At 38.1% G+C, this 25,736-nt stretch overlaps 1 long non-coding RNA gene across 1 annotated transcript in view, besides 2 other annotated features; it reads right to left on the bottom strand.

Moving 5' to 3' along the window:
- Window positions 1–25,736, bottom strand: part of LOC107987026 (uncharacterized) — a 69,939-nt gene that overhangs the window by 13,772 nt on the left and 30,431 nt on the right. The gene's annotated exons all lie outside the window — the stretch shown is intronic.
- Window positions 8,935–9,079: an enhancer, noted in NCBI's record as "145 bp 9:21720826 sequence used in MPRA reporter constructs". NCBI's record gives its function as "activates a minimal TATA-containing promoter with rs10811596 allelic activity by MPRAs in C283T melanocytes {active_cell/tissue: C283T}" and the evidence as "EXISTENCE:reporter gene assay evidence [ECO:0000049][PMID:36423637]".
- Window position 9,007: a transcriptional cis regulatory region, noted in NCBI's record as "rs10811596 or 9:21720826 MPRA-significant variant associated with a GWAS melanoma risk locus at 9p21.3". NCBI's record gives its function as "allelic transcriptional activity by MPRAs in C283T melanocytes {active_cell/tissue: C283T}" and the evidence as "EXISTENCE:reporter gene assay evidence [ECO:0000049][PMID:36423637]".

A 25,736-nucleotide genomic window follows, 5' to 3' on the forward strand; every position in this document is an offset into this window, starting at 1 on the left:
TATGGGAATTACATCCAGGAAATCTTGATTAAAACCAGATCAAAACTGCCAATGTAACCAAGAGATTCTCCTCTGAATGTAGACACAATAACTGTCAACACACAATTGTACTTTTCAAAAATGATGATTCCAAAATTTGAATCTAATCAGAGTTCCAAATAAAAAGTTTACATGGTGTTTTCCTTGCTTGAATGAATGAAAATCTATTTTAGAATCCAAATACTTGTACAAACCTTACCTATGATTCCAAAATTGAAATTATTTTGGAAAAGTATAATTGTTAAGCAATAGTTTTTAATCTAGATTGAGCAGTCAGAATGTCAGAGGATCTGTAGCCCCAGAATTATTGGAAATGTGCTCAATTCACTTGGCCCCAAGCATTTAAAAATAGGCTTTGTATAAGAAGTCTGTAAAACAAATTTCGTGGCCAACATACTTTCATAACAAAAGCTCAAACTAGAATAGTGTTTAGACTGAATTGAGGTTTTAAAATAGTCAAAAATTTTTGGTTAATCTCTCTTGAATCTGTTAGATAATCTTTATAATTTTCAAATTGAGGTACATGATCTCTGATTAAACTGAATGCTATATAGATTGATTAATTCTATGAAATTCTGACATCTTTGAATAATAACTTCTGGCTTATGTATTCGTATGTTAAACTATGCATCATTTTTATAATTGAGCTAAATTACCAGTAACATATGACTAACAATCCCACTTATTAAAAGGATAATTGCTAGCTTCAAAATTAATACTACTATCCCAATCTAGGGACCAAGTGCTGCTAATGTTACAGTGGCATAGAATGCCTCCCCTAAACTAAAAGGATCACACTTTCTGCTGACTGACTAAAAATTTACTTTAAAAATTGAGTCATAACCCTTTTTAACAAAATAAAACGTTTGTAGGGCATATCTTTAGCTCAAAGTAAACTAAAATTAGGCACAATTTCAAAACTGTCATCAGATTTTTTAGGGTGGGGAGCAAGTTGGTAGATTAGGAAACTACTGACTCCCCTTAAGAGTATTGGAAACTACCTGGCTGGAAATATAAAACTACTTACATCAGGTTTTCTCATACTGCCTTAGAGTTGTAGAAGATTTACATGGTGGAGGAGTATAGCATAAGTTCTCAAGCAATGTGTCAAGATCACTTGCAAGGTACATGACAAATCGTTAATATGACAAGAGTGAAAAATATTAAGCTATAAGATTTGTAAAACTGTTTCCTCTCTCCCCCTCTGCCCCTACTTCTAAAGAGAAAGGCTTCTTGCTTCCTGAATCAGTACTTTGAATCCCTGCCCGTTTGTTTTACAGAATGCAGGTAAAGAGGAGACTTAAAAATTACTAGAAGGAAGACAAGCAAAACTGATCTACAGTCTAAAGAGCTAAGCCAGAAAGCAGAAGGGAGAGGGATAAAAATTTAATTAGAGTGGGCTTGTGAGAGTTGTTGAGGGAAATATGAAAAGAGAGATAGTTGGAGGCATCTGGGGATATTTTGGAAAAACTAAAATAGAGATGAGGAACAAGGATTTATTTTAATGATATTTCCTGTGCATTATGAATGCAGGGTCTTTTTAGCATTTCAAGATAAATGAACTAAAGAATAAATTGCTTCCCAATCATTTTGAATCCCAGACTGATGTTTCTCTGAATGTGATTCTTTGCAGAGAAAGAACCACTGAGAGGCTAAGCTTTAATTAGGTTAGATCACTAACAATAAAAATTTACATATTTTTAATAAATCAGAGTAACCTTACTTTTATTCAGTTGCACTCTGCTATGTTTCCATAAGTAGGAAGAAAAAGGTAAAATTAAAGCTCTCTTGCCAGAAATGACACAGCCCATAATGGCAGCTGGTATTCATGTATTGTTATTAATTGTGGCAGTTTCAATCTATTGGTTACAAAACAAACTATTAGAAGTAAGAGAAGCAAAGGGGGGAGGGGGGAGGGATAGCATTGGGAGAGATACCTAATGCTAGATGACGAGTTAGTGGGTGCGGCGCACCAGCATGTCACATGTATACATATGTAACTAACCTGCACATTGTGCACATGTACCCTAAAACTTAAAGTATAATAATAAAAAAAAATGTAATCTGCTTTGTTAGTCTGTTCTATCATTGATATAAAGAAATAGTTGAGCCAGACTTGGTGGCTCATGCCTATAATCCCAGCACTTTGGGAGGCCAAAGTGGGTGGATCATTTGAGGCCAGGAGTTCAAGCCTAGCCTGGGCAACATGGCAAAACCCTATCTCTGCTAAAAATACAAAAATTAGCCGGGTGTGGTGGTGCATGCCTGTAATCCCAGCTACTAGGGAAGCTGAGGCATGAGAATCGCTTGAACCCAGGAAGTAGAGGTTGCAGTGAGCCAAGATCATGCCATTGCACTCCAGCCTGGGTGACAGAACGAGACTCCATCTCCAAAAATCTAACTAAAAACCTTGAGACTGGATAATTTATAAAGAAAGGCAGTTTAATTGGTTCACAGTTCTGCAGGTTCCACAGGAAGCATGATGGCATCTGCTTGCTTCTGGGAGGCCTCAGGAAACCTACGATCATGAAGAAAGGCAAAGGTGGAGTAGGCACTTCACATGGCCAAAACATGAGCAAGAAAGTGAGGGGGAAGTACCACATATTTTTAAACAATCAGGTCTCATGAAAATTCACTCATGTGAGACCTGGTTGTTTTAACGTGAGGACAGTATCAAAGGGATCGTACTAAACCATTCACCAGAACTCCACCCCCTTGATTCAATCATCTCCTACCAGGCTTCATCTCCAACATTGGGGATTATATTTCAATAGAGATTTTGGTGGGGACATGCATCCAAACTATATCATTCTGCCCCTGATACCTCCCAAACCTCATGTCCTTCTCACATTTCAAAATACAATCATGCCTCCCCAATAATCCCCCAAAGTCTTAACTCATTCCAGCATTTACTCAAAAGCCCAAAGTCTGAAGTCTGATCTGAGACAAGGCAATTCCTTTCCACCTGTGAGCCTGTAAAATATAAAACAAGTTAATTACTTCCAAGATACAGTGGGGGTACGAGCATTGGGTAAACATTCCAACTCCAAAAGGAAGACATTGGCCAAAAGAAAGGGGCTATAGGCCCTAGCAAGTCTGAAACCCAGAAGGGAAGTCATTAAATCTTAAACTCCAAAATAATCTCCTTTTACTTCATGTTCCACATCCAGGGCACACTTCTGCAAGGGGTGGGCTCTCAAAGCATTGGGCAGCTCTGCCTCTGTAGCATTACATGATTCAGTCCCCACAACTGCTCTCATGGGCTTGTGTTAAGTGCCTGGAACTTTTCCAGGCACAGAGTGCAAGCTCTTGGTGGATCTACTATTCTGGGGTTTGGAGGACAGTGGCCCTCTTCTCACAGCTCTGCTAGGCTGTGCCCTAGTGCGGACTCTGGGAAGGGGCTCTAACCTCACCTTTCCCCACTGCACTGCCTTAACAGAGTTTCTCCATACGGGTTCCATCCCTGCAGCAGGCTTCGGCCTAGACACCGTGGCTTTTCCATACATTTTCTGAAATCTAGGTGGAGGCTCCCAAGCCTCAACTCTTGCATTCTGCACAGTTGTAGGCTTAACACCACGTGGAAGCTGCCAAGAATTATAGCTTGCACTTTCTGAAACAGCAGCTTGAGCTGTATCTGAGCCCCTTTGAACCATGACTGGAACAGGAACAGCAGAAATGCAGGGAGCAGTGTCCCAACACTGTGCAGGGCAGTGGGGCCCTGGGATTGGCCCATGAAGCCATTCTTCCCTCTTAAGCCTCTGGGCCTGTGATGCAATGAACTGTTTCTTAGATCTCTGAAATGCCTTTGAGATATTTTTCTCATTATCTTATCTATCAGCACTTGCCTTATTTTCAGTTATGCAAATCTCTCTAGCAAGTGGTTCCTCCACAGCCTGCTTGAATTCCTCTCCCAAAAGAAAATGTTTTTTTCTCTGTAACATGTTTAGGCTGAAAATTTTTCAAACTTTTATGCTGTTTCCCTTTAAAATGTAAGTTTCAACTTGAGGTCATTTCTTTTCTCCTGCACATAGGAATAGATTGTTAGAAACAGCCGTGTCACTTCTTGAACACTTTATCGCTTAGAAATTTCTCCTGCCAGATACCCTAGGTCATCACTCTCAAATTAAAACTTCCACGTATCCCTAGGGCATGGACACAAGCCAGACAAGCTCTTTCCTAAGGCATAACATGCATGACCTTTGCACCAGTTCCCAATAAGTTTCTCATTTCCATCTGAGACCTGGTCAGCCTGGCCTTCACTGTCCATATCATTATCAGCATTTTGATCACAACCATTTAACCAGTCTCTAAGAAGTTGCAAACTTTCTCTCATCTTCCTGTCTTCTTCTGAGCCCTCCAAACTATTCCAGCCTCTACCCATTACCCAGTTCCAAAGTCACTTCCACACTTTCGGGTATCTTTATAGCAATGTTCTACTCCTTAGTACCAATTTTCTGTATTAGGCCATTTTTTTTTTCGCTATAAAGAAATATCTGAGATTAGTAATTTATAAGAAAAGAGGTTTAATTGGTTTATGGTTCTGCAGGCTATACAGGAAGCATGGTAGCACATGCTTCTTGGGAGGCCACAGGAAGCTTTTACTCATGGCAGAAAGCAAAGTGGGAGCAAGCACTTCACATGGCAAAAGCAGGAGCAAGAGAGCAAGGAGAGAGTACTGCCCTCACAATGGTTAGTGAGTTCTCACAAGATCTGTTCATTTAAAAGTGTAAGGCACTGCCCCCCTTGCTCTCTTGCTTCTGCTTTGGCCCTGTGAAGTGCCTGTTCCCTCTTTGTCTTCTGCCATGGGTAAAAGTTCCCTGGGGCCTCCCCAGAAGCAGATGCAGTCAATGCCTCCTGTACAGCCTACAGAACCATAAGCCAATTAACCTCTTTTCATATAAATTACCCAGTCTTAGGTATTTCTTTACACCAATGCAAGAATGGCCCAGTACACCCCACCAAGTTTGAATCAGGAAGAAATAGAAATCCTGAACAGACCAATAATGGGTGGTGACATTGAATCAGTAATAAAAAATATTCCAACAACAAACAAAAAAGCCATGGACCAGATGGATTCACAGCCAATTTCTACCAGACTTTCAAGAAAGAACTGACACCAGTCCTACTGAAACTATTCCAAAAGGTTTAGAAGGAGGGCATCCTCCCTAACTCATTCTAAAAGCCAGAATCACCTGGATACCAATGCCAGGAAATGACACAATAAAAAAAGAAAGCTACAGACCAATATCTCTGATGAACATAGATGCAAAAATCCTCAACAAAATGCCATCAAACCAAATCTAACAGCACATCAATAAAATAACTCATCATGATTAAGTGGGTTTCATTCTAGGAATTCAAGGATGTTGCAAAATACCTAGGAATATATTTAACCAAGGAGATGAATGATTGCCACAAGATGAAAGAAATTGTAGATGACACAAACAAATGGAAAAACATCCCATGCTCATGGATTGGAAGAATCAGTATTGTGAAAATAACTATACTGCCCAAAGCAATCTATAGATTCAATGCAATTCCTATCCAAATACCATTGTAATTTTTCACAGAATTAGAAAAACAAATTCTAAAATTCATATGGAACCGTGAAAGAGCCCTAATAGCCAAAACAATCCTAAGCAAAAAGAACAAATCTGGGGGCATCACATTACCTGACTTCAAATGATACTACAAAGCCATAATAACCAAAACAGCATAGTACTGGTGTAAAAGTAGACACATAGACCAATGGAACAGAATAAAGAACCCAGAAATAAAGCCAAATATTTACAATCAGCTGATCGTCAGCAAAGCAGACAAAAACACGCATCAGGGAAAGGACACCTATTCAGTCAATGGTGCTGCAATAATTGAATAGCCACATGCAGAAAAATGAAACTGGATCTCTATCAATCACCATATACAAAAATTAACTCAAGATGGATTAAAGACCTAAATGTAAGACCTGAAATCATGAAAAATTCTAGAAGAAAACCTAGGAAAAACTCTTCTGGGCATTGGCCTAAGCAAAGAATTTATGACGAAGACCCCAATAGCAAATGCAACAAAACCAAAAATAAACAAATGAGACTTAAACTAAAAAGCTTCCACACAGAAAAGAAATAATTAGCAGAGTAAATAGACAACCTACAGAAAGGGAGAAAATATTCGTCAACTATACATCCAACAAAGGACTATTATTCAGAATGTACAAGGAACTCAAATGAGCAAGAATAAAGAAATATTCTCGTTACAAAGCAGGCAAATGACGCGAACAGGTATTTTTCAAAACAAGACATACAAATGGCCAAAAAACATATGAAAAAATGCTCAATATCACTAATCATCAGAGAAATGCAAATTACAAACACAGTTAGATACCACATTACTCCTGTCGGAATGGCCATTATTAAAAAGTCAAAAAAACAACAGATGTTGTCACAGATTCAGTGAAAAGAGAACTTATACACCATTGGTGGGAATGTAAATTGTCAGAACCTCTATGGAAAACAGTATGGAGATTTGTCAAATAACTAAAAGTAGATTTGCCATTTGATCCAGCAATCCTACTTCTGGGTATCTACCCAAAGGAAAAAAGTCATTATATCAAAGACACCTGTACAATTCACAGTTGCAAAGATATAAAATCTACCTAAGTGCCCAACAGCCAATTAGTGGATACAGAAAATATTACATACACACACCAAGGACTACTACTCAGCCATAAAAAGAATGAAATAATGTCTTTTGCAACAACTGGGATGAAACTGGAGGCCATTAACCTAAATGAAGTAACTCAGGAACAGAAAACCAAATATCATATGTTCTCATTTATAAGTGGGAGCTAAGCTATGGGTATGCAGGGGCATACACAGTAGTATAATGGACACTGGAGAATCAGAAGTGGAGAGAGTGTGATGGGGGAGAGGGATGGAATATTACCTATTGGTTGCAATGTACACTATTCAGGTGATGGGCACACTAAAAGCCCAGAATTCACCACTGTACAATTCATCCATGTAACCAAAAACCACTCATACCCCTAAATCTATTGAAATTTTAAAATAAAATAAAAAATGTTACCTTCATATTGTTTTCTATCTTATTGACGGAATTTTAACACAGCTGGTATTAGAGTTGGGGTAGAACTCAGAATTTTTTATTAAAAAAAGTATTATAACGACTATACTATCACTAATATAAAAAATCAACAAAAACTTAGTACCGTTAACATTTCCTTCATTATCTTTTGACCAGCTACTCAGATATGTTATAGGAAAATAATTTTCATGGTAGACAAATTTTTTATCAACCAGTTAAACTGCCATCAGTATTTTCTATATCAATTAATAACTACATTATTTGATTAAACACCAGAATTCTCATTCCTTAGTATTCAAAATGTGTTTCATGGACCAGCGGTACAGATGTCACCTGGGAGCTTGCTAGAAATGCAGAATCTCAGATTTTGCCCAGCTCTACTGAATCAGAATCTGCATTTAACATCATGCAATGTGATTTGTATAACATTATAGCTTTTGAAGCACTATTCTAATTCACAGAATTTCTTCAAGTGAACCAGTGACTATCTGTAATAGAATCATCTAGAATGTTTGCCAAATATGCATTTCCTAGATCCCACCTGAGATCTAATAGGTCCTTTGAATCCAAGTTTTTAAAATAATATTCTGTGTGATTGTGATGCATATTAAAGCATGATGAACAAGGTTCTGTGCACTTTTGTGTTTCAATATTTTTACCCGTCTGCTGCTTTATTTATATTTAGCTCTAAGCCCATAATCACATGGTTATTGAGTTTGCTGTACTTAATTGTGTTTGTTGCATTTCCTTCGTTTCTGTTATTACCTCATCATGACTTCTTAGGCTATTCAATGCATAGATGGGCTCATTACACTTGGAAAACCTTTTTGGGCTATCCTTACAGGCTTTTCCTGTCTTCCTATATTTCTATTCAATGATTAGAGAAGGTTGAAAGTGGATGAAAACTATGTTGCCAGGGCTTTTTATATCTTGAATGTAAAAGTCCTTCCCAAAGAGCCACCAGGAAACCTCTCTCTAGCTGTTTCCTTGGAGGTCTTTTACAGAAAATGCTTCTTAAATTTACTTCCAAAATATAATTTAAATTCATAACAGAATGCTAAAGACTTTCAGCCTAGTTTAGGAAAAAGGGCAATGCAAGAAAAACTACAATAATTACTTCCAGTGCCTTCTCTACCATTAGCTATTGGCCTTGGGCAGATTTTGTAACCTGTCTGAGTCTCCTTGCCTCATTTGTGAAATGAGGATAATGATACCTGCCAGAAGGTTAGGCATTGCTCCAGATTGTCCCTTGGTAACCCTTCCAGCTCTGACATCCATGATTCCATTATTCTGTCAAGTCAACATATATTTGTGTTTCCATACGCCTGGCTTCTTTCTTTTCCTCTCCAATTTGTCATCTCCTTGCAATCACACATGCACACTTCTCTCTTATAACTATTTCTATAATCACACATGCAAACTCCTCCCTTATAACTATTTCTAGTGAAAATGAATTTAGAACATTTTATTGGAGAAATTTACTTTCACCATAAGTGTAAAATATACTTATATTTAAGATAAGTAGCCTGCCACAATTAAACCCCATGTGTCTATTAATTATCTCGTTAAGTGGATGCAGATGAAATAAATGGGTGTGGATAAAGACCCATACTTGAGATATTTAATAGTAGCCACTTAATTTAACTACCCACTGAGCTCATCTAAAATGCATGACAATAAAATGGTAAAGTAGAGCCTCACAGGTTTCACTTGCAGTGAGAACAATTCAGCAAATATCACTAGTGAATAAGAAATCGGTAAAATTCAATGAGCTACTGGAACATGCAAGCTGAACAGATAGTTCCTTTAAATATCTGTATATGAAAAATGATCTGATCTCATATACATTTGCTGAGTTAATTAGAATGAAAAAAAAACCCTCTGAAGTCTGTTTTCATAGCCTCTTACATTTCCCAAAGTAGAGTAAAAGAAGGAAAAAGCGCTTGTTAAACTACAGTAAGGCTTGTCTAAGTGACCACTTGTACTTTGAAGAATTCTTGTTAAACATTCCCTGAACGCTGCACTTAAGCAGCTGCTACGGTACTATGCTTATAAAAGACTTTGTTATACTTGTTTCTTGCTATGTATCATGACTGCATGATATACTTATTAAGAGCAGAAGCACTGGAATCAGACAGACCTGCATGTGAATCCTGGCTTACCAGCTACGTAACGTGGGGCAAATATAAGTTTTGTCATCTGCAATGACACTAATAACACCTTCCTTAGGAGAATATTGAGGATTAAATAAAATAATGTATATAAGACATGCATTTGTCCATTCTTTTGTTCCACAAATGTTTACTCTGCCATCTATATGCCAGGCATTATGTGAGTGCTCAATATTTAGCAGGGCATCAGCTAGACCAGCCCCTACCTTCATTGAGATGACATTCTGGTAGACTGACACATCTGCCTGTTGCATAGTAATCACTACTGTTACTGTAATTGTTGTTTTATTCCTAAATGTATATTACTTTAATCCAAAATTAAACATTAAAAATACTATTAAATATTTTAAAGGCACAACAATAAATAAGTACCTTGCCCATGTTGACATCTCCCATATCCACGTGCAGCTCTTCTGAACTCAGCTCTTATGCGAAGGAACTAACCCTGAGCTAGCCAAGCAGGACGGACATTCCATCAAAAGGAATAATTTAAAATGAGCTTTAAGTTCGACTTGTATTGAAATTGCCTAAAACAGCAGTATAGGATGATGCTTAAGAACATGAACTCTGTTGCCATTTGATTGGGTTTGAATTCAAACTCTGATACTTGCTAGCTTAATGACTTTGAGTAAGTTACTTAATCTATTTCCACCTCAATTTTCTCATATGTAATATAGGAATATTGATAGTTCCTACCCCAAAGAGTTGTTGTAAATATTAAATTACATGAATTAACTCATTTAATATTTACAACAACTCTTTGAGGTAGGAACTATCATTATTCCTGACTTACTGTTTTATAGGTTGCGTAGACTTAAGAATGCCTACACATTAATGTTACATATATACCATGGAATACTATGCAGCCATAAAAAAGGATGATTCCTGTCCTTTGCAGGGACGTGGATGAAGCTGGAAACCATCATTCTCAGCAAACTATAGCAAGGACAAAAAAACCAAACACCACATGTTCTCACTCACAGGTGGGAATTGAACAATGAGAACGCTTGGACACAGGAAGGGGAACATCACAAACCGGGGCCTGTTGTGGGATGGGAGGAGGGGGAGAGATAGCACTAGGAGATATACCTAATGTAAATGACAAGTTACTGGGTGCAGCACACCAACATGGCACATATATACATATGTAACAAACCTGCACGTTGTGCACATGTACCCTAGAACTTAAAGTATAAAAAAAAAGAATGCCTACACATTGTTAACATTATTACGTGTATAATGCTAATTATATGTATTATATGTGTTAAATGTACAGTTGTACATATAATTGTATAACATATAAATGTATAATTATACATATATACATGTGTAATATACATCATATATAATGCATATATAATATATACTTAATATAAATGTATATATTATATATAATATATGTATATATACACATTATATATAAAATGTGTATATACATTATATATTATATATTATACAATGTATAATATTAATGTTAGAGATAAAGAAAACATTAATAATGAGAATTTAACTTTAAAAAGTATGTCATGCCTGTAATGGTTACATTGTTAAAAACATAATTTGAAAATATTCTTTCGATAGTCAAGAATTAGATTCAGCAAAGAAGTCACTGACATAATTTATTAACCAATAAGGTGAGGAGGCTCTGACTTACATCTTCATTACTTCAGTTTCATCTTGCTAACTAATGTAAATGAAAATATTAACCAACATTCATGTTGGAATTTGTTATAGGACTGATGGTTTAGAGAAAGCTACTTAGGTGAAGGACAGAAACATTTTTGTGGGAAGATGGCAATGTCACCAGTACTCATTAGGTGGAGCAGCAGTGTCATCATCCCCCAAAAGCATTTTATCCAGAAACCATTCAATAATTTTGCTTTGTCGCTCTTTGACAGTCCAGAAACAACAATAATCTGGAAAGTGGGGGCACTGTTCTTAAGGAGTTTGTACTGGGGGCTCATAAGACATTCTGTTTCTCCCTCTCCATAACCCCTTTCCAGGTCGAGTTAAATTTCCTTTATTATCCTGAGTTTATAAGGCTAGGTCAACTTTTCTGTAATACTTTTTTCCATTTGAGGAAATTATACTTTGGATTCAATAATATATACCCACAAGGGAGAGAATATGGATTTAAAAATAAACTTAAAAATATAACTTAGAATATTCAGTCTGGAGGGGACCTGAGAGATTGTCTGATCCATTGCAGTATTGACCAGATTCACATTGTACTTTCATAATGTGCTTTTATTGTCAGGAAGATTAATGGACATCAGGTGTTTATAACACTCTTTTCTCTTAGTTGTGCTTAAAATTTTCTTTATAAAAGATATTAAAAGAAAGCTAACAAAATATTATTTATATAGAGAGAGCATATTAAATTGTTCTTAGCACCATCTACACTAACGAGTCTTTGGACAGATAACTATCAGCCTGATTTGAAGTTGAAATGTATTGATTATTAATATTGTGGAAAAGTCTGTGTTTTCATAGCTTCAAACCATTTTAGCACAAGTTGGAAGGATTTACAACATTGTCTCCATCTCTTACCATCTCATCTGATCAAACTTTGTTCACTTCTTTCTCACCCAGATATCTCATCCTGTTACTTTAATGCTCAAATTTCAGAAAGAGCAGAGCAAACCTCTCAAAGTTTGAACCCATAACTATTCTAACTCACAGCTCTATTGACGGCTGGGTTAACTCTGGAAAAATTTGTCACTCATCTTCTTTAATCTTGTCATCCATCTACAACCAACACTAGCAACGTTCTCCCATTTTAATGGTCTCTCATACATTTCCAGAACTGATAATATTTCTAGGAAATGTGCAGCAATGCCTCTCCTAATAAAGCCCCCAGCTTTCATTTTTATATTAATATAAGGCAAAATGTTTGTATTCTCTCAACATATTTCATAGCCCTGAACCCAGACTTTTAGTTCTACAGGAAATTACAGTTAATGTTAGCGATTAGGTCTGGTGCTTTCGAAAGCATGTTATACAGGTTATTATTAGGCATTTTGATAGAAAAAGGACTGCTTTACTGCAAGAATTCTGAAAACCTTAATGTGCTAACAAAATTGTGATTTCCTAGAGGGTTAAAGAACACAGCATTTTCCAAATGTGTGTGCTCATAGGAACTTTTTCCCTGGAACACCCTTTGGGATCAGTATTTTATGAAATATGTTTTGGTAACTAATAACATCCTCAAATAAGATCTAGAGAGTAGTAGTTACTTGTCCAGAATTCCTCAGATATATATGGTAGAACATAGGTATACAGGGTCTATTTGGTAGACTAGAACCCTTGAGTAATCTTTTGCACACCCAGGTTTTTAATACTTTTATGTGGGTCCAGTCACACCCTTTTCTTGGTTCTTATAATAATCAATGGACCATGTAGACCTAGTGACCAGTAAGAGTAAATGTTACTATAATGTGGAACTTTGTAAATGGGGCTCAGTACAAGGGACCTCTAATTTTGTTAAAATAGAAGATAAAAGGAGGGCCCTAATATGTCCCAGGCAAAAGATACAACAAATAGCAATAACACATCATTCAACAAATTTTGTTGAGCATTTATCATATGCCAGGCACTGTGTTAGGCCCTAAGTTTAAAACCGTGAACAAATTAAACACAGTTCCTGGCATCATGGAATTTACTGTCTAATGAGAGATACCCACTAGTGAATATGCAACAATGCAATATAGGTATAGGTTGAAGTGAAAGCACAAATGAGGGACAACTAACCCAGACTTGAAAGGGAGAAGGTTGAATACTACTTCACAATGATGTTCAAGATGACTCCTAAAAGGTGAGAAGGACTTAGGTGAAGGTGAAAGGGGCTCAACAAAAAGGGCTCTAAACTAAAAGAACATCTTCAAAGGCCCTAAGATTAAAGAGAAGGTCGGGTGGGGAGTCTGTAATCCCAACACTTTGGAAGGCTGAGGCGGGAGGATTATTTGAGGTCAGGAGTTCCAGAACAGCCTGACCAACATGGTGAAACCCCGGCTCTACTGAAAATACAAAAACTCACCAGATGTGGAGATGGGGGGGTGCCTATAATCTCAGCTACTCAGGAGCCTGAGGCAGGAGAATCGCTTGAACCCGGGAGGCAGAGGTTGCAGTGACATCACAGCACTGCACTCCATTCTGAGTGACAGCAAGACTCTGTCTCAAGAAAAAAAAAAAAAGATGAGAGAGAGAGAGAACATTGATATGCTTGAGGAACGGAGAGTGTCTGAGGTAGAAAGGGTGGGAGGTGAGGCTGGAGTGATAATGCTGCTGGTAGAGATTTGGGGTGCTGAAGTGATGGGATGGGGAACCACTGGCCTGTTTTAAGGAGAGGAGTTCTGCGTTGAAAGGTCTACTGGGGTGCTGACTGGAGAACCGATAAGAACAGAAAAAAACGGGTGGAAGGCTATTGTAGTTATCTTAGGAAGACATAATGATGTCCTATGCTAAGGAAGTAGTAGTGTGGATAGGGAGAAGTGAGAAGAGTGTGAGGTGAACTAGCAGAACTTGGTGGTTGACACGTTGAGAGAGGTGAAACGAAGCAAGTAAAGGATAAACTAGAGATGACAGACCACTCATAGAGTAAGAACGCCAGTGGGAAGAGAACATTTGAAGAAGGACAAATAACAATATATTAACAGATAGGTTAAGAGGAGACTTTTATGATCATATTTCTTAAGTTAGCATTCCATATAAACCAAATGCAAAATGTATATGCAAAATGTGTCATATTGTCATACTACTGTTACACATAAACATAATGGTAGATACTTCCTTTGATATAAGTTAGTAAAATTTGAAAACAATATTTGCTCCTTTCAGAAATTTTTAGATTATTTCTAATCCTCAACTAATGGGCATTATCCTGGCTTTCTTGGTATTAAATATATATTTTGATTAAATAAAAGAAAAACTAAATCTATAGTTATCAGGCAGAAACAAATATAAATTGTGAGCTATAGACGGACTAAATTTTCTGACTTTTTAAAGGCATTGTGTGTTGTTTTATACTTCCAGATTGCCTTATGCACCTCTTAAGATCTTTTTCTTACAGTTGGTATAAACCCTCCATGTGGGAAGACCTACAATTATAGCAGCTGGTGTTTATAGCAAGTAACAAGGCTGAATTAAACAACTATTATCTCCATTTTGGAATGGTTTGTTAAAACAATGAAATCCTTTCAAGAAAGTACTACATGTTGGCCAGGTGCAGTGGCTTATGCCTGCAATCCCAGCACTTTGGGAGGCTTGAGGAGGGCCGATCACTTGAGGTCAGGAGTTCGAGACCAGCCTGGCCAACATGGTGGAACCCTGTCTCTACTAAAAATCCAAAAATTAGCCGGGTAGTAGTGGCATGTGCCTGTAATCCCAGCTACTCAGGAGGCTGAGGCAGGAGAATTGCTTGAGCCTGGGAGGTGGAGGTTGCCATGAGCTGAGATCCCACCACTGCACTCCAGTCTGGGCAACGGAGTGAGACCCTGTCTCAAACAAACAAACTCCAGAAAGTACTGCATCTTAAATGATGCCCAAGTAGTACTAATTTTGTTTTTGTTTTCGTTTTTTCTTTCGAGATGGAGTCTCGCTCTGTGGCCCAGGCTGGAGTGCAGTGGCTATCTCCGCTCACTGCAACCTCGGCCTCCAGGGTTGAAGCAATTTTCCTGCTTCAGCTTCCCACGTAGCTGGGGTTACAGACGTGCCACCATGCCAGGCTAATTATTTGTATTTTTAGTAGAGATGGGGTTTTGAGAGAAAGGACTAGCTGGATTTCCTAGGCGGACTAAGAATCCCTAAGCCTAGCTGGGAAGGTGACTGCATCCACCTGTAAACACGGGGCTTGCAACTTAGCTCACACCTGACCAATCAGGTAGGAAAGAGATCTCACTAAAATGCTAATTAGGCAAAAACAGGAGGTAAAAAAAAATAGCCAATCGTCTATTGACTGAGAGCACAGCAGGAGGGACAATGATTAGGATATAAACCCAGGCATTTGAGCCGGCAACAGCTACCCTCTTTGGGTCCCCTCCCTTTTTATGGGAGCTATGTTTTCACTCTATTAGATCTTGAAACAGCACTCTCTTCTAGTCCATGTTTGTTACTCCAGCTGAGCTTTGGCTCACTGTCCACCACTGCTGTTTGCCGCCTCCGCAGACCACCACTGACTTCCATCCCTTCAGATCCGGCAGGGTGTCCTCTGTGCTCCTGACCCAGCCAGGCGCCCATTGCCGCTCACGATAGGTCTAAAGGCTTGCCATTGTTCCTGCAAGGCTAAGTGCCCAGGTTCGTCCTAATAGAGCTGAACACTAGTCACTGGGTTCCATGGTTCTCTTCCGTGACCCACAGCTTCTAATAGAGCTATGACACTCACCTCATGACCCAAGATTCCATTCCTTGAAATCCGTGAGGCCAAGAACCCCAGGTCAGAGAACATGAGGCTTGCCACCATCTTGGAAGTGGCCCACAGCCATTTTGGAAGCGGCCGTCCACCATCTTGGGAGCTCTGGGAGCAAGGACTGCCTCACACCACTCCCCGTAACAGTTTCACCATGTTGGCCAGGCTGGTCTTGAACTCCTGACCTCAAGTGATCCGCCTGCCTCAGCCTCCCAAAGTGCTGGGATTATAGGCATGAGCCACCGTGCCTGGCTATTTTGGGAATCGAAACTAGCAACATGAAAAAGTGACCCCTAAAAGTGACTTAAAAATTAAAACACACTTTGGGAGGCCGAGGTGGGTAGATCACGAGGTCAGGAGGTCGAGACAATCCTGGCTAAGAGGGCAAAACCCTGTCTTTACTAAAAAATACAAAAAATTGGCTAGGCATGGTGGCTCACACCTGTAATCCCAGCACTTTGGGAGGCCGAGGCGGGCGGATCACGAGGTCAGGAGTTCGAGACCATCCTGGCTAACATGGTGAAACCCCGTCTCTACTAAAAACACAAAAAATTAGCCGGGAGGCTACCAGGAGGCTAAGGCAGGAGAATGGCGTCAATCTGGGAGGTGGAGTTGCAGTGAGCTGAAATCATGCCAGTGCACTCCAGCCTGGGCAACAGAGCGAGACTCCGTCTCAAAAAAAAAAAAAAAAATTAAAACAGCTCATAGCAACGCATATTCTGAAAATAAATTTGATTTGGCAGAACTATCACGAATTCTCACATAAGAACTCTGATAAATTCCTAGCGTTGAAAAATCAATAAGAACTTTTACCCTCCATATTGAAGGAAGGATACCAAAAAACAATAGAAATCTATTTTAAAAAAGAAAACGCATATCCAAGTTTGAAGAACTGCTTTTTGTGTTTTACTTATCTATCCCCATTTTGTCTTAAGTAGCATCTTACAATATTTGTTACTTTCTTTAAATGAAAGTGGTGGGAAAAAAATTAAAGAAAGGAATTCTCATTCACTTCCTCCCGGTTTTATGGGAACTACCTTTATATGTATTTAAAATGTCATTAAATGGTGAAGAAAGTATTTTCCTGATCAGAACATTTCAGAAGTGAAGTGTACAAGCACAAAATGCCAAATGCCATGAGGCTTTATATCAGCAGCCATAGGAAATTTCTTGCTCCTCTCGCACTATGGAGTATGCATAGCTTGTCCACTCACATTTACAATGAGTTGGCAGTTAAAACTTAACTATGAGTTTGAAGACATGGAAGAGCATTCAAAGCAGCCAAGAATAGAGGATGCAGAGGGACTCAAAATTCATTGTGGTGAGTCTACGTTTGCTGCTACTTTTTCCTCTTGGGCATTTGTTGATTCACAGCTCAGTGCGCCAAAGCCAGGGAAAGTCATGTTTTAAACTCTGTGGCAGTCTCACCGTGGGGGACATCAAAACTTAGACTTCATGACTACAAAGATTAGTCATTACTGAAGGAACTAAGAAAAGTGAGCCCAACATTTGGCACAAATTTTATTTCTAAAGCATTTGTTAATCCCTAAGCTATGCGTTGGTGATAGGAGACAAAAGAAATGAAGTTCTTACCATGTCAAGGAAATACCGCTTGATAGATACTCCAGGATTTCACCTAAAAGCCTTAAAGGCTTAGTCCATAGGAATAAAGACAAATTATAAACCTATCAGTTTTCACAAATTGTGAAATCTAGTTTCAAATCAATTAGTTCCCTAACTGAACCAAGGTATCCAGCTAGTACTATATTGTCCTACTAAAAGAAAATTAAATTCTCTTTGGAGAAAATTAACATCTCCAACAATTTTTCATACACAATGTTCAACATTCGATCCAAGTTGACAGGTATGTCTATACAAAGAATCACATTACTGAAGCCAAAAAGCAAAAATAAACAATGGAAATAGATCAACAAATAATACAGATACTGAAGTTATCAAACACAGACTTTAAAACAGCTATGATTAACATTTTCAAGAAAACAGATTTAAAAGTATATAAAATTTTACTAGATAACTAGAATCTATAATAAAAGGCAATTCAAATTATGGACTTTAAAAATACAATAACCATAGTTAAAATTCAATTCAAGAAACAGGTTTAATGCCATAGACAGCAGAATGCAGAAGCAATTGCCTGAAACAGAGTTCAATATAAAGTATCAAAATTCATGTATAGCAAGACAAAAGGAGGAACAAAAAGGAGCATAAAGGATATCTGAGACTGAGAGAAAAGATCAACATATGTGTAATCGAAATTCCTAAAGGAGAAGAAAAGGAATGCTGGGCAAAAATTTTGCAAAACTGATGAAAGACACCAGAAATGTAAGTAATTCTTTGTACTCCAAGCAGGATAACTACAACGAAAGCCATGCTTACAGACATCATTATGATACAAACCACTGAAAGCTAAAAACAAAGAGAAATCTTAAGACCACTCAGAGGAAAATACTATTACCTTCAGAGGAATAACAAAAGACCAACAGCTGACTCTTCAAATCTTTCAACAGAAATGTCGAACAACAGAAATGTCGAACACCAGAAGAAAATAAAATGACATTCTTAAAATGCTAAAAGAAAATAATTGCCAACTTATAATTTTTCATCTAGGACAACTGAGGACAAAATAAAAATGTCTGGACAAATAAAAAAGGAATTTTATTGCCACTACTGAAATATTATCTTTAATGGAGTTCTTTAAGCAGAAGGAAAATTACTCCAGATGGAAGGTTAATCATACAAGAAGATACAAAGAGCACAAGAAAAAATAAATAGGTAGGTAAACCGAAATGAATATTAACTGTAAAAAATAGATAAAATGATTTCAAACTACAACTTGCAGATTGAAACACACTGCCCATGCAGACTTTTATGCCATAGTTTAGTTGTTGGGCTATGATGGAGATAAGCACAGGATACTATGTGAGGACAACAAGGGCACCTGGACACCTTGGAGACACAGGAAAGATCTTCCTGAGAAAGTAACAGATATATATCTATGATCTCTGGTTACTCCCCTTTGTAAGTTATTTGCTCCTGGCAAATTGAATAGTCCACAGTTTCTTACACGTATTCTGCCATTTCTTTACTCATGATGTTTGCGTATTCTGTTTTCTCTAAAATGCAAACATCCTCTCCATCTCACCTCCCAATGTCCATAGATTCAAATCTTTCAGGTTTAAAGCTCTGTGCCGCTATCATTTTAAGCCTTCTCTGGCCATGTTCCACCACCATCCCTGGCACCCCAACCCAAAATTCAAGAATCTTTTTCTTTTTTATAAGGAATGTATGTTTATGTTATCATTCCTATTAGGATTTAGGTTCTTCAGGAACATTTTGTCTTATTCACCATTGTTTACCCTCCAATAAACATCTGTTGAATAACGAATCAATGGATGGATGGATAGATGGCCAGATAGATGGGGAGGCCATTAGGACAATCCTCCAGGTAAGTATAAATTTTGCTCTGACTTGGCACTTGCTTAACTATAAATCAAGGCTCAACATGCCATTTTCTCTCCATTCCTGCATTTTTCTGGTTTTAATCACACAGTTGCTGAATCATCAAATGCTACAGCAGAAACATATCCAAACTGGTAAAATTCTCAGTAACTATTTTTGATCTTGAAGCCAGTTAGAAACATACTATTAAGGGAAAAGTGATAACTTGTTAATATTATGGTTTGATGAAGGGGAAATATTGAACAGAGTTTTCTAATATATTTAACTGGTTTATAATTTGCAGAGTAAAACTTCAACAAGTGCATGCCCTTGAAATCCATTAATCTCTCTGTATTGTTTTATGTCTGAATCAGTACAGAGAGAATAAACAATATCCATAGTAAAATGAAAACAAAATATCAAGTTTTTCTTTGTGGAATGCACAGGCCTGCATAAAGATAGATGAATTTTATAAAACTAATCTATGTTCAGTCATGGACAGATAAAAACTGCCACCAACACCAGCAACTTATTTTATATATATATATATATATATTTTATTATACTTTAAGTTCTAGGGTACATGTGCACAACGTGCAGGTTTGTTACATATGTATATATGTGCCATGTTGGTGTGCTGCACCCATTAACTCATCATTTACATTAGGTATATCTCCTAATGCTATCCCTCCCCCCTCCCCCCACCCCACAATAGGCCCCTGTGTGTGATGTTCCCCTTCCTGTGTCCAAGTGTTCTCAATGTTCAATTCCCACCTATGAGTGAGAACATGTGGTGTTTGGTTTTTTGTCCTTGCGACAGTTTGCTGAGACTGATGGTTTCCAGCTTCATCCATGTCCCTACAAAGGACATGAAGTCATCCTTTTTTATGGCTGCATAGTATTCCATGAGGTATATGTGCCACATTTTCTTAATCCAGTCTATCATTGTTGGACATTTGGGTTGGTTCCAAGTCTTTGCTATTGTGAATAGTGCCGCAATAAACATACGTGTGCATGTGTCTTTATAGCAGCATGATTTATAATCCTTTGGGTGTATACCCAGTAATGGGATGGCTGGATCAAATAGTGCTTCTAGTTCTAGATCCCTGAGGAATCGCCACACTGTCTTCCACAATGGTTGAACTAGTTTACAGTCCCACCAACAGTGTAAAAGTGTTCCTGTTTCTCCACATCCTCTCCAGCACCTGTTGTTTCCTGACTTTTTAATGATCGCCATTCTAACTGGTGTGAGATGGTATCTCATTTTGAACACCAGCAATTTAAAAGAGAAACACTGCCTGAACTTGCACGTGCACAGTGAAACAAACCTCCTTAATGGAACGCATGTAAGATTTTCAATGTTTTTCTGGTAAATATTCAAGCAGGTGATCTAAGCAGGTCAAAATTCTCAGAAGTGAGTCTTGATTTTCTAATTGAGGGAATTTAGAAAGATGTGTTTTGGCATATGTGCAACGAGTAAATTTTCTGTACTCCTTAGAAGAAAAGTTAAACAGGATTAATAACATATCCCATTAAGTTTCTTGGGTAGACCCAACTACACGCCTACCTAGTATCTATTCTCCATTTCTTAAATTAATGATTTTCTTGGAGATCTCAATGTGCTCAGCTTAAAACAGAACAAAACAAAAAGAAAACACATGCATTTCATAATCTTTCTTGCAGCTAAGGATAGGTCATGTGACACAGGTCTGGCCAATGAATGTAAGCAGAAATCAAGTGCACACTTCTGACATTTTTTTTTCTTGGAATAAACACTACTGTCTTCTTCTTTCCCCCGTCTGAAAAATATAGACACAATTACTAAAGCTGGAGTTTCAACAGCCATCAGCTAACTATAAGGAAAGTACCAAGAACATTGCAGAAATCTCTGTTCTGATCTCCCAAGGTATAAAGCAAATGCTAATATAGCACACGACTGGACTTACTATGTGAGGAAAATAAATGTGTTTTTCAAACCAAAACTTTAAAGATTTTAGTTACATTTACCTGAAATTTAATCTCAGAATAAATAATTCCTCAAGAACATCAACCAAACCATTTCTTATCTTTTTCTTCTCCCAACTTCCTAACATACACGGTTTTCTCAACAAAATAGGAATGAATTAATAAGTGATTGAATGAATTAAGCAACCATTCCACTATTTATAGCAATATCTATTTGAAATTTCTAGAAAAAAAGCAAAGTTAAATCCTATGTCAGGTAAACCTACTTGAATTCAAAATAAACTACTGAACATTGTGAGTCACAGAATACATATTAAGATATTTTAAAAGTGGTCACTATTCTAAGATCTGTCAGTGAGATATAGACCTCTATGATAGACAGCCTCCTTCATGAAGAAGAGGCATTAAAGTTTTGAAATCAGATCTGTTATAATTAACTGCTTTTCTGTAATCACCTAGGCCAGAAATGGAAAGGAAGTTAACATGAGCATGGAGAAAATCAGCAGAATCAATCTTAGGATAATGGAGAATGTAGAGGCAGAGGAAATACAGTGAGGGAATTAAAGTTCAGCCCTTCCTTCCTCAAGAAGGTCTCCGAACAATATACAAAGATTGACAGATAAGGAAATGAAGTGTATCTCCTTGTCTGTTCAAGAACTTGTGTCAAGGACCCCTGACTGCACTGGTCAATTTTAGATTTCAGAGAAGTCTAAACTTTTGAAAAGTAGCTCTGCATTATGGAAAAATTGGACTCCTCTACACTCTGCTACTTGAAGAGCAGCTCCTGGACGAGCAGCGTTAGCATCAACTGGAAACGTGAAGTGCAGAGTCTTGGGTCCCATCTCAGACTATTGAATCAAATTATTCTTTTGTATATTGAATTTTGAGATGTACTGTACTAGAAAACCTTATTAAATATTGTCTCTTTGATATCTGAGTAGTTATTTGACTATACTTCTCTAAGTTCCAGATGTCAAATAATTTTTTAGAATGTCTCTCACAACTTTTCCACACAATTTCATAAAATGAATATTTTAAAAATATACTCTTGAAAGAAATTGATAATGAAAAAAAGGTGAGCCCCCATTTTTCCCTGGAGATTGGGAAGACATGTGCCATTCACTAAAAATTACATTTACTAAATCTAGAAACTGGATCCTTTGCCAATGTGATATACTTTCTTTCGTTTTCTGTTTAAGGGTGAGGTTTTGACTGTGTCATTTAAGGGCCTATGAAGTCCTTGGAAATTTGGTCTTCTCTCCCTTTTACCAATGTACTTTCACTTGTAGGCAAGCTCTAAATGAATGGCATGAGGAAGAGCAGATGACTTGACTAGAAGGCAGATGATTTATTTTCCTTGAGTTTACCATCATTTTCAGACATTCTTAAGGAAAATGAATTATACATACGTTAGGATATTGGAATTCTCTTTGCTGACAAGGCCTATCCCAGGAATGATACAACTGTGAGTAAAGTTATTGTCTCTACATTGCTTCAAAGAAACATGTCAGGGTAGGACCAGGATGGTTAATTTACCAAGGGCTTGCTTCTCCAGTTCACAGATGTGTATATTCTTTGGAAGTAGTGGTTGCAGTTTTAAACACTACATCCCAGATGTGCAGACAAGATACAACTTCTTTATTTTCTCTGTAACCTATCATATTTTCCTTACGACCAGGGATGGGGACACTATACTTTAGTTCAACTTCATAAATATAGTCTGATTCAATAAATAGTCTATTTGGTAATTGTTTAATCTTTTTTAGGTGAAAGGCTCAGTCCTTCAGATTCCATCTACCCCTGCCCAGCTCCTCCCCAAGAAGACCTTTGGATGAATAGGAAAGATATGGGGTTTACATGACCTCATGATACCCTGGGCGAGCAGTGCTCTTGAAGTCACACTTTGTGTTGTCCTCTCTTTTCTCTGCTGATGCATGGCTGTTCTGGACTGCTCTCCCTTTCCAAATAGTCCCTCTCTCAGTCACATCTAACTATGACTGAGTGATTTAGCTTCACCATGGATCACACTGATACTGCAGACCCCTCTAAGACTGTGGCATGTTCTTCATTTCTATCTTGGCCTAGGCTACCCAACCCAGTCACTTGATGCCTTGCCTCAAAGCTCAGTGGTAACTCACTGCCCACAAATCAGATTCCTTCAGCATCTGCAAGGAACATGCAGTCATCCCTGACTTCTTCATCTGCCTTCCTTGCTACCTTCAGCCAATGAAGTGTGGCATTTTCCTTGGCCTTGAAGGAAGTAGGTGCCACCAAGGTAGAATTCTACAAAGCCAGTTTGGAGGATGGTGGAGTAGAAAGACTGCAAGAGCCTTGTATTCTGTCTTCTTGCTCTTTTTCTCTCTTCTCCTCCAACATCTCTAGAAATAGAGGGTGCAGATTTCTGGCTTTTCAATTTCCCTACACCAGTGCTACCCAGACTAGTGCCAGGCCATGGACTGTCACTGGCCCACAATAAGATACACACAAAAATCAAGAGTAAATTTCTAGATACAATTTAACAGGGTAATTTCATATCTACCAAATGTAATTTAAAATGTTAGGCTTTTATTTTATGTGTCTTTGTTTTTCTATTTCATTTTTCTCATAACTCACTTTTATTGTATTTTTTAAATGATAGTGTGGGAGCCCAGGGAAAACTTCCTCTTCAACCTCTAAAGAAGCAGTCCCCAACTTTTCTGGCACCAGGGACCAGTTTCATGAAAGCCAATGTTTCCACAAAGGGGGGCTGGGGGTTGGTTTCAGGATGAAACTGTTCCAGCTCAGATCATCAGGCATTAGATTCTCGTAAGGAGTGTAACCTAGATTCCTCACATGTGCAGTTCACAATAGGGTTCGTGCTCCTATGAGAATCTGATGTCATCACTGATCTGACAGGAGGCAGAGCTCAGGCGTTAATGCTCGCTAGCCCGCTGCTCACCTCCTGCTGTGCAGCCCGGTTCCTAACAGGCCATGAAGTAGTACCCGTCTGTGGCCCAGGGGTTGGGGCCCCTGCTGTAAAGTTTTGCTTAAAAAAATCAACTGACAAAAGGCAGATTAATCGGTGAAAAGGCATACAGATTTATTAACATGTACACGGAGAGAACCACAGAGTGACTCCTACAACCCCTCAATGGGATGCAAAAGCTTATTTACCATCTTGAGGTTACAGAAAGAATGAAGGCTCAGAGCATGGCCAAAAAGGTTATGGTGGTAAATCAGGATTTACTGGCAAGACAGGTAAGAGGGAGAGGAGAGACTTGGCTGGCAAAGATGGTCATGTTACCTAGGTGAAACCTCACAGGTAATATCCCTCCAAAAGAATAAATGGTAAATATTTCTTTCAGACCTTTAAAGGTGTCAGGCTCCCATTAATCTTTCCTAGATCCAGTCAAGGGAAGGTTTCAGAGAAAGCCTGGATGCATCAATGTAAATTTTCTCTTTAGATGCAAATCTCCACAAAAGAGCTTTGCAAGGCTACTTCCGTTTGCAGGCCCTCTGAACAGCCGTCTCAAAATATGTGAAAGAAGTGTCTATGGGAGTGAAATATTTTTACTTCTTTCAATAGAACAAGATGTGTTAGAAACTTTTTAAAAGTGGTTTCTCCCACAGATAGTTTGAGAGGCACTGCTCCTCATTGCATCTGCTCTCTATTCAGCAAGCCTAAGGAAGAGGATCATTGATGGAAGGGACATCCTCTCTGTCCTGCTCTCTGCACCACAGAAGAAACATAAGGAGTTCACCAGACTTGAGTCTGGGTATGCTACAAAAATGTGACTTCTTTTCCTGACAAAGCCTGGATTTTGAACTTATTTTCAAGTTGTAGATGCAAGCTAAAATCTAATTTGACAGTCAAAGCTGGACAAGGACTCCCCTGTGTTCTGGTGGGGACTATGTTCTGACACCTTTTCCCTGAAGCACGGAAACCCATTGTTTCAATGAGTGGGAAGTCCTAAAGCAATGTGATCTACAGGATAAGAAGACACACCAAAAAAAATATCCTGAAGTTGCTGATGTAAGAAGGATGGTTGGAGAACAGCTCTATTTCAAGAACATCTGAATATGATGTTTTTCATAATCTTAAAAAAACCTGTATCGGTAATCAATACAATACATTCCAAGTGACCCTATTTTTTTGCAAAAGAAGAAGAAAATCTCTAGAAAACCATTTGCATTCATATAAGCTTTACAATGCCTGAAACAAATGTTTAGGCCTCAGTCTTTTCCAGTTCAAAGACCAATGAAAATAATTTGTAGACCACACTTGAACAACCACAAATTGAGTGCTGTTCCTAAAGGAAGCTTTCGCAGCTGGGATGCCTGAAACAATTCTGGCATTAAGTGGGTGAATATTATTATTAATAATATTTAATTAAGTTTCTACCTGAGCACCCTGCTGAAAGACTCTCTAAAAACTAGTCTAACATCATTAATCTAACAAAATAAGGGCCAAATTAGGAAACAGAAGAAGGCTACAGTTTTATCATTGTACTGACCTATCTTAGAGGTAACGTTGACTCTCCTTAGAGATAGTTTCCAAAATACTATTACTCAGTTGAAGAAAAGTTAGACCATGCTCAAGAATAATTGTTTTGAGATTG

Source organism: Homo sapiens, chromosome 9, assembly GCF_000001405.40.
Source record: "Homo sapiens chromosome 9, GRCh38.p14 Primary Assembly".
Classification (NCBI taxonomy): Eukaryota; Metazoa; Chordata; class Mammalia; order Primates; family Hominidae; genus Homo; species Homo sapiens.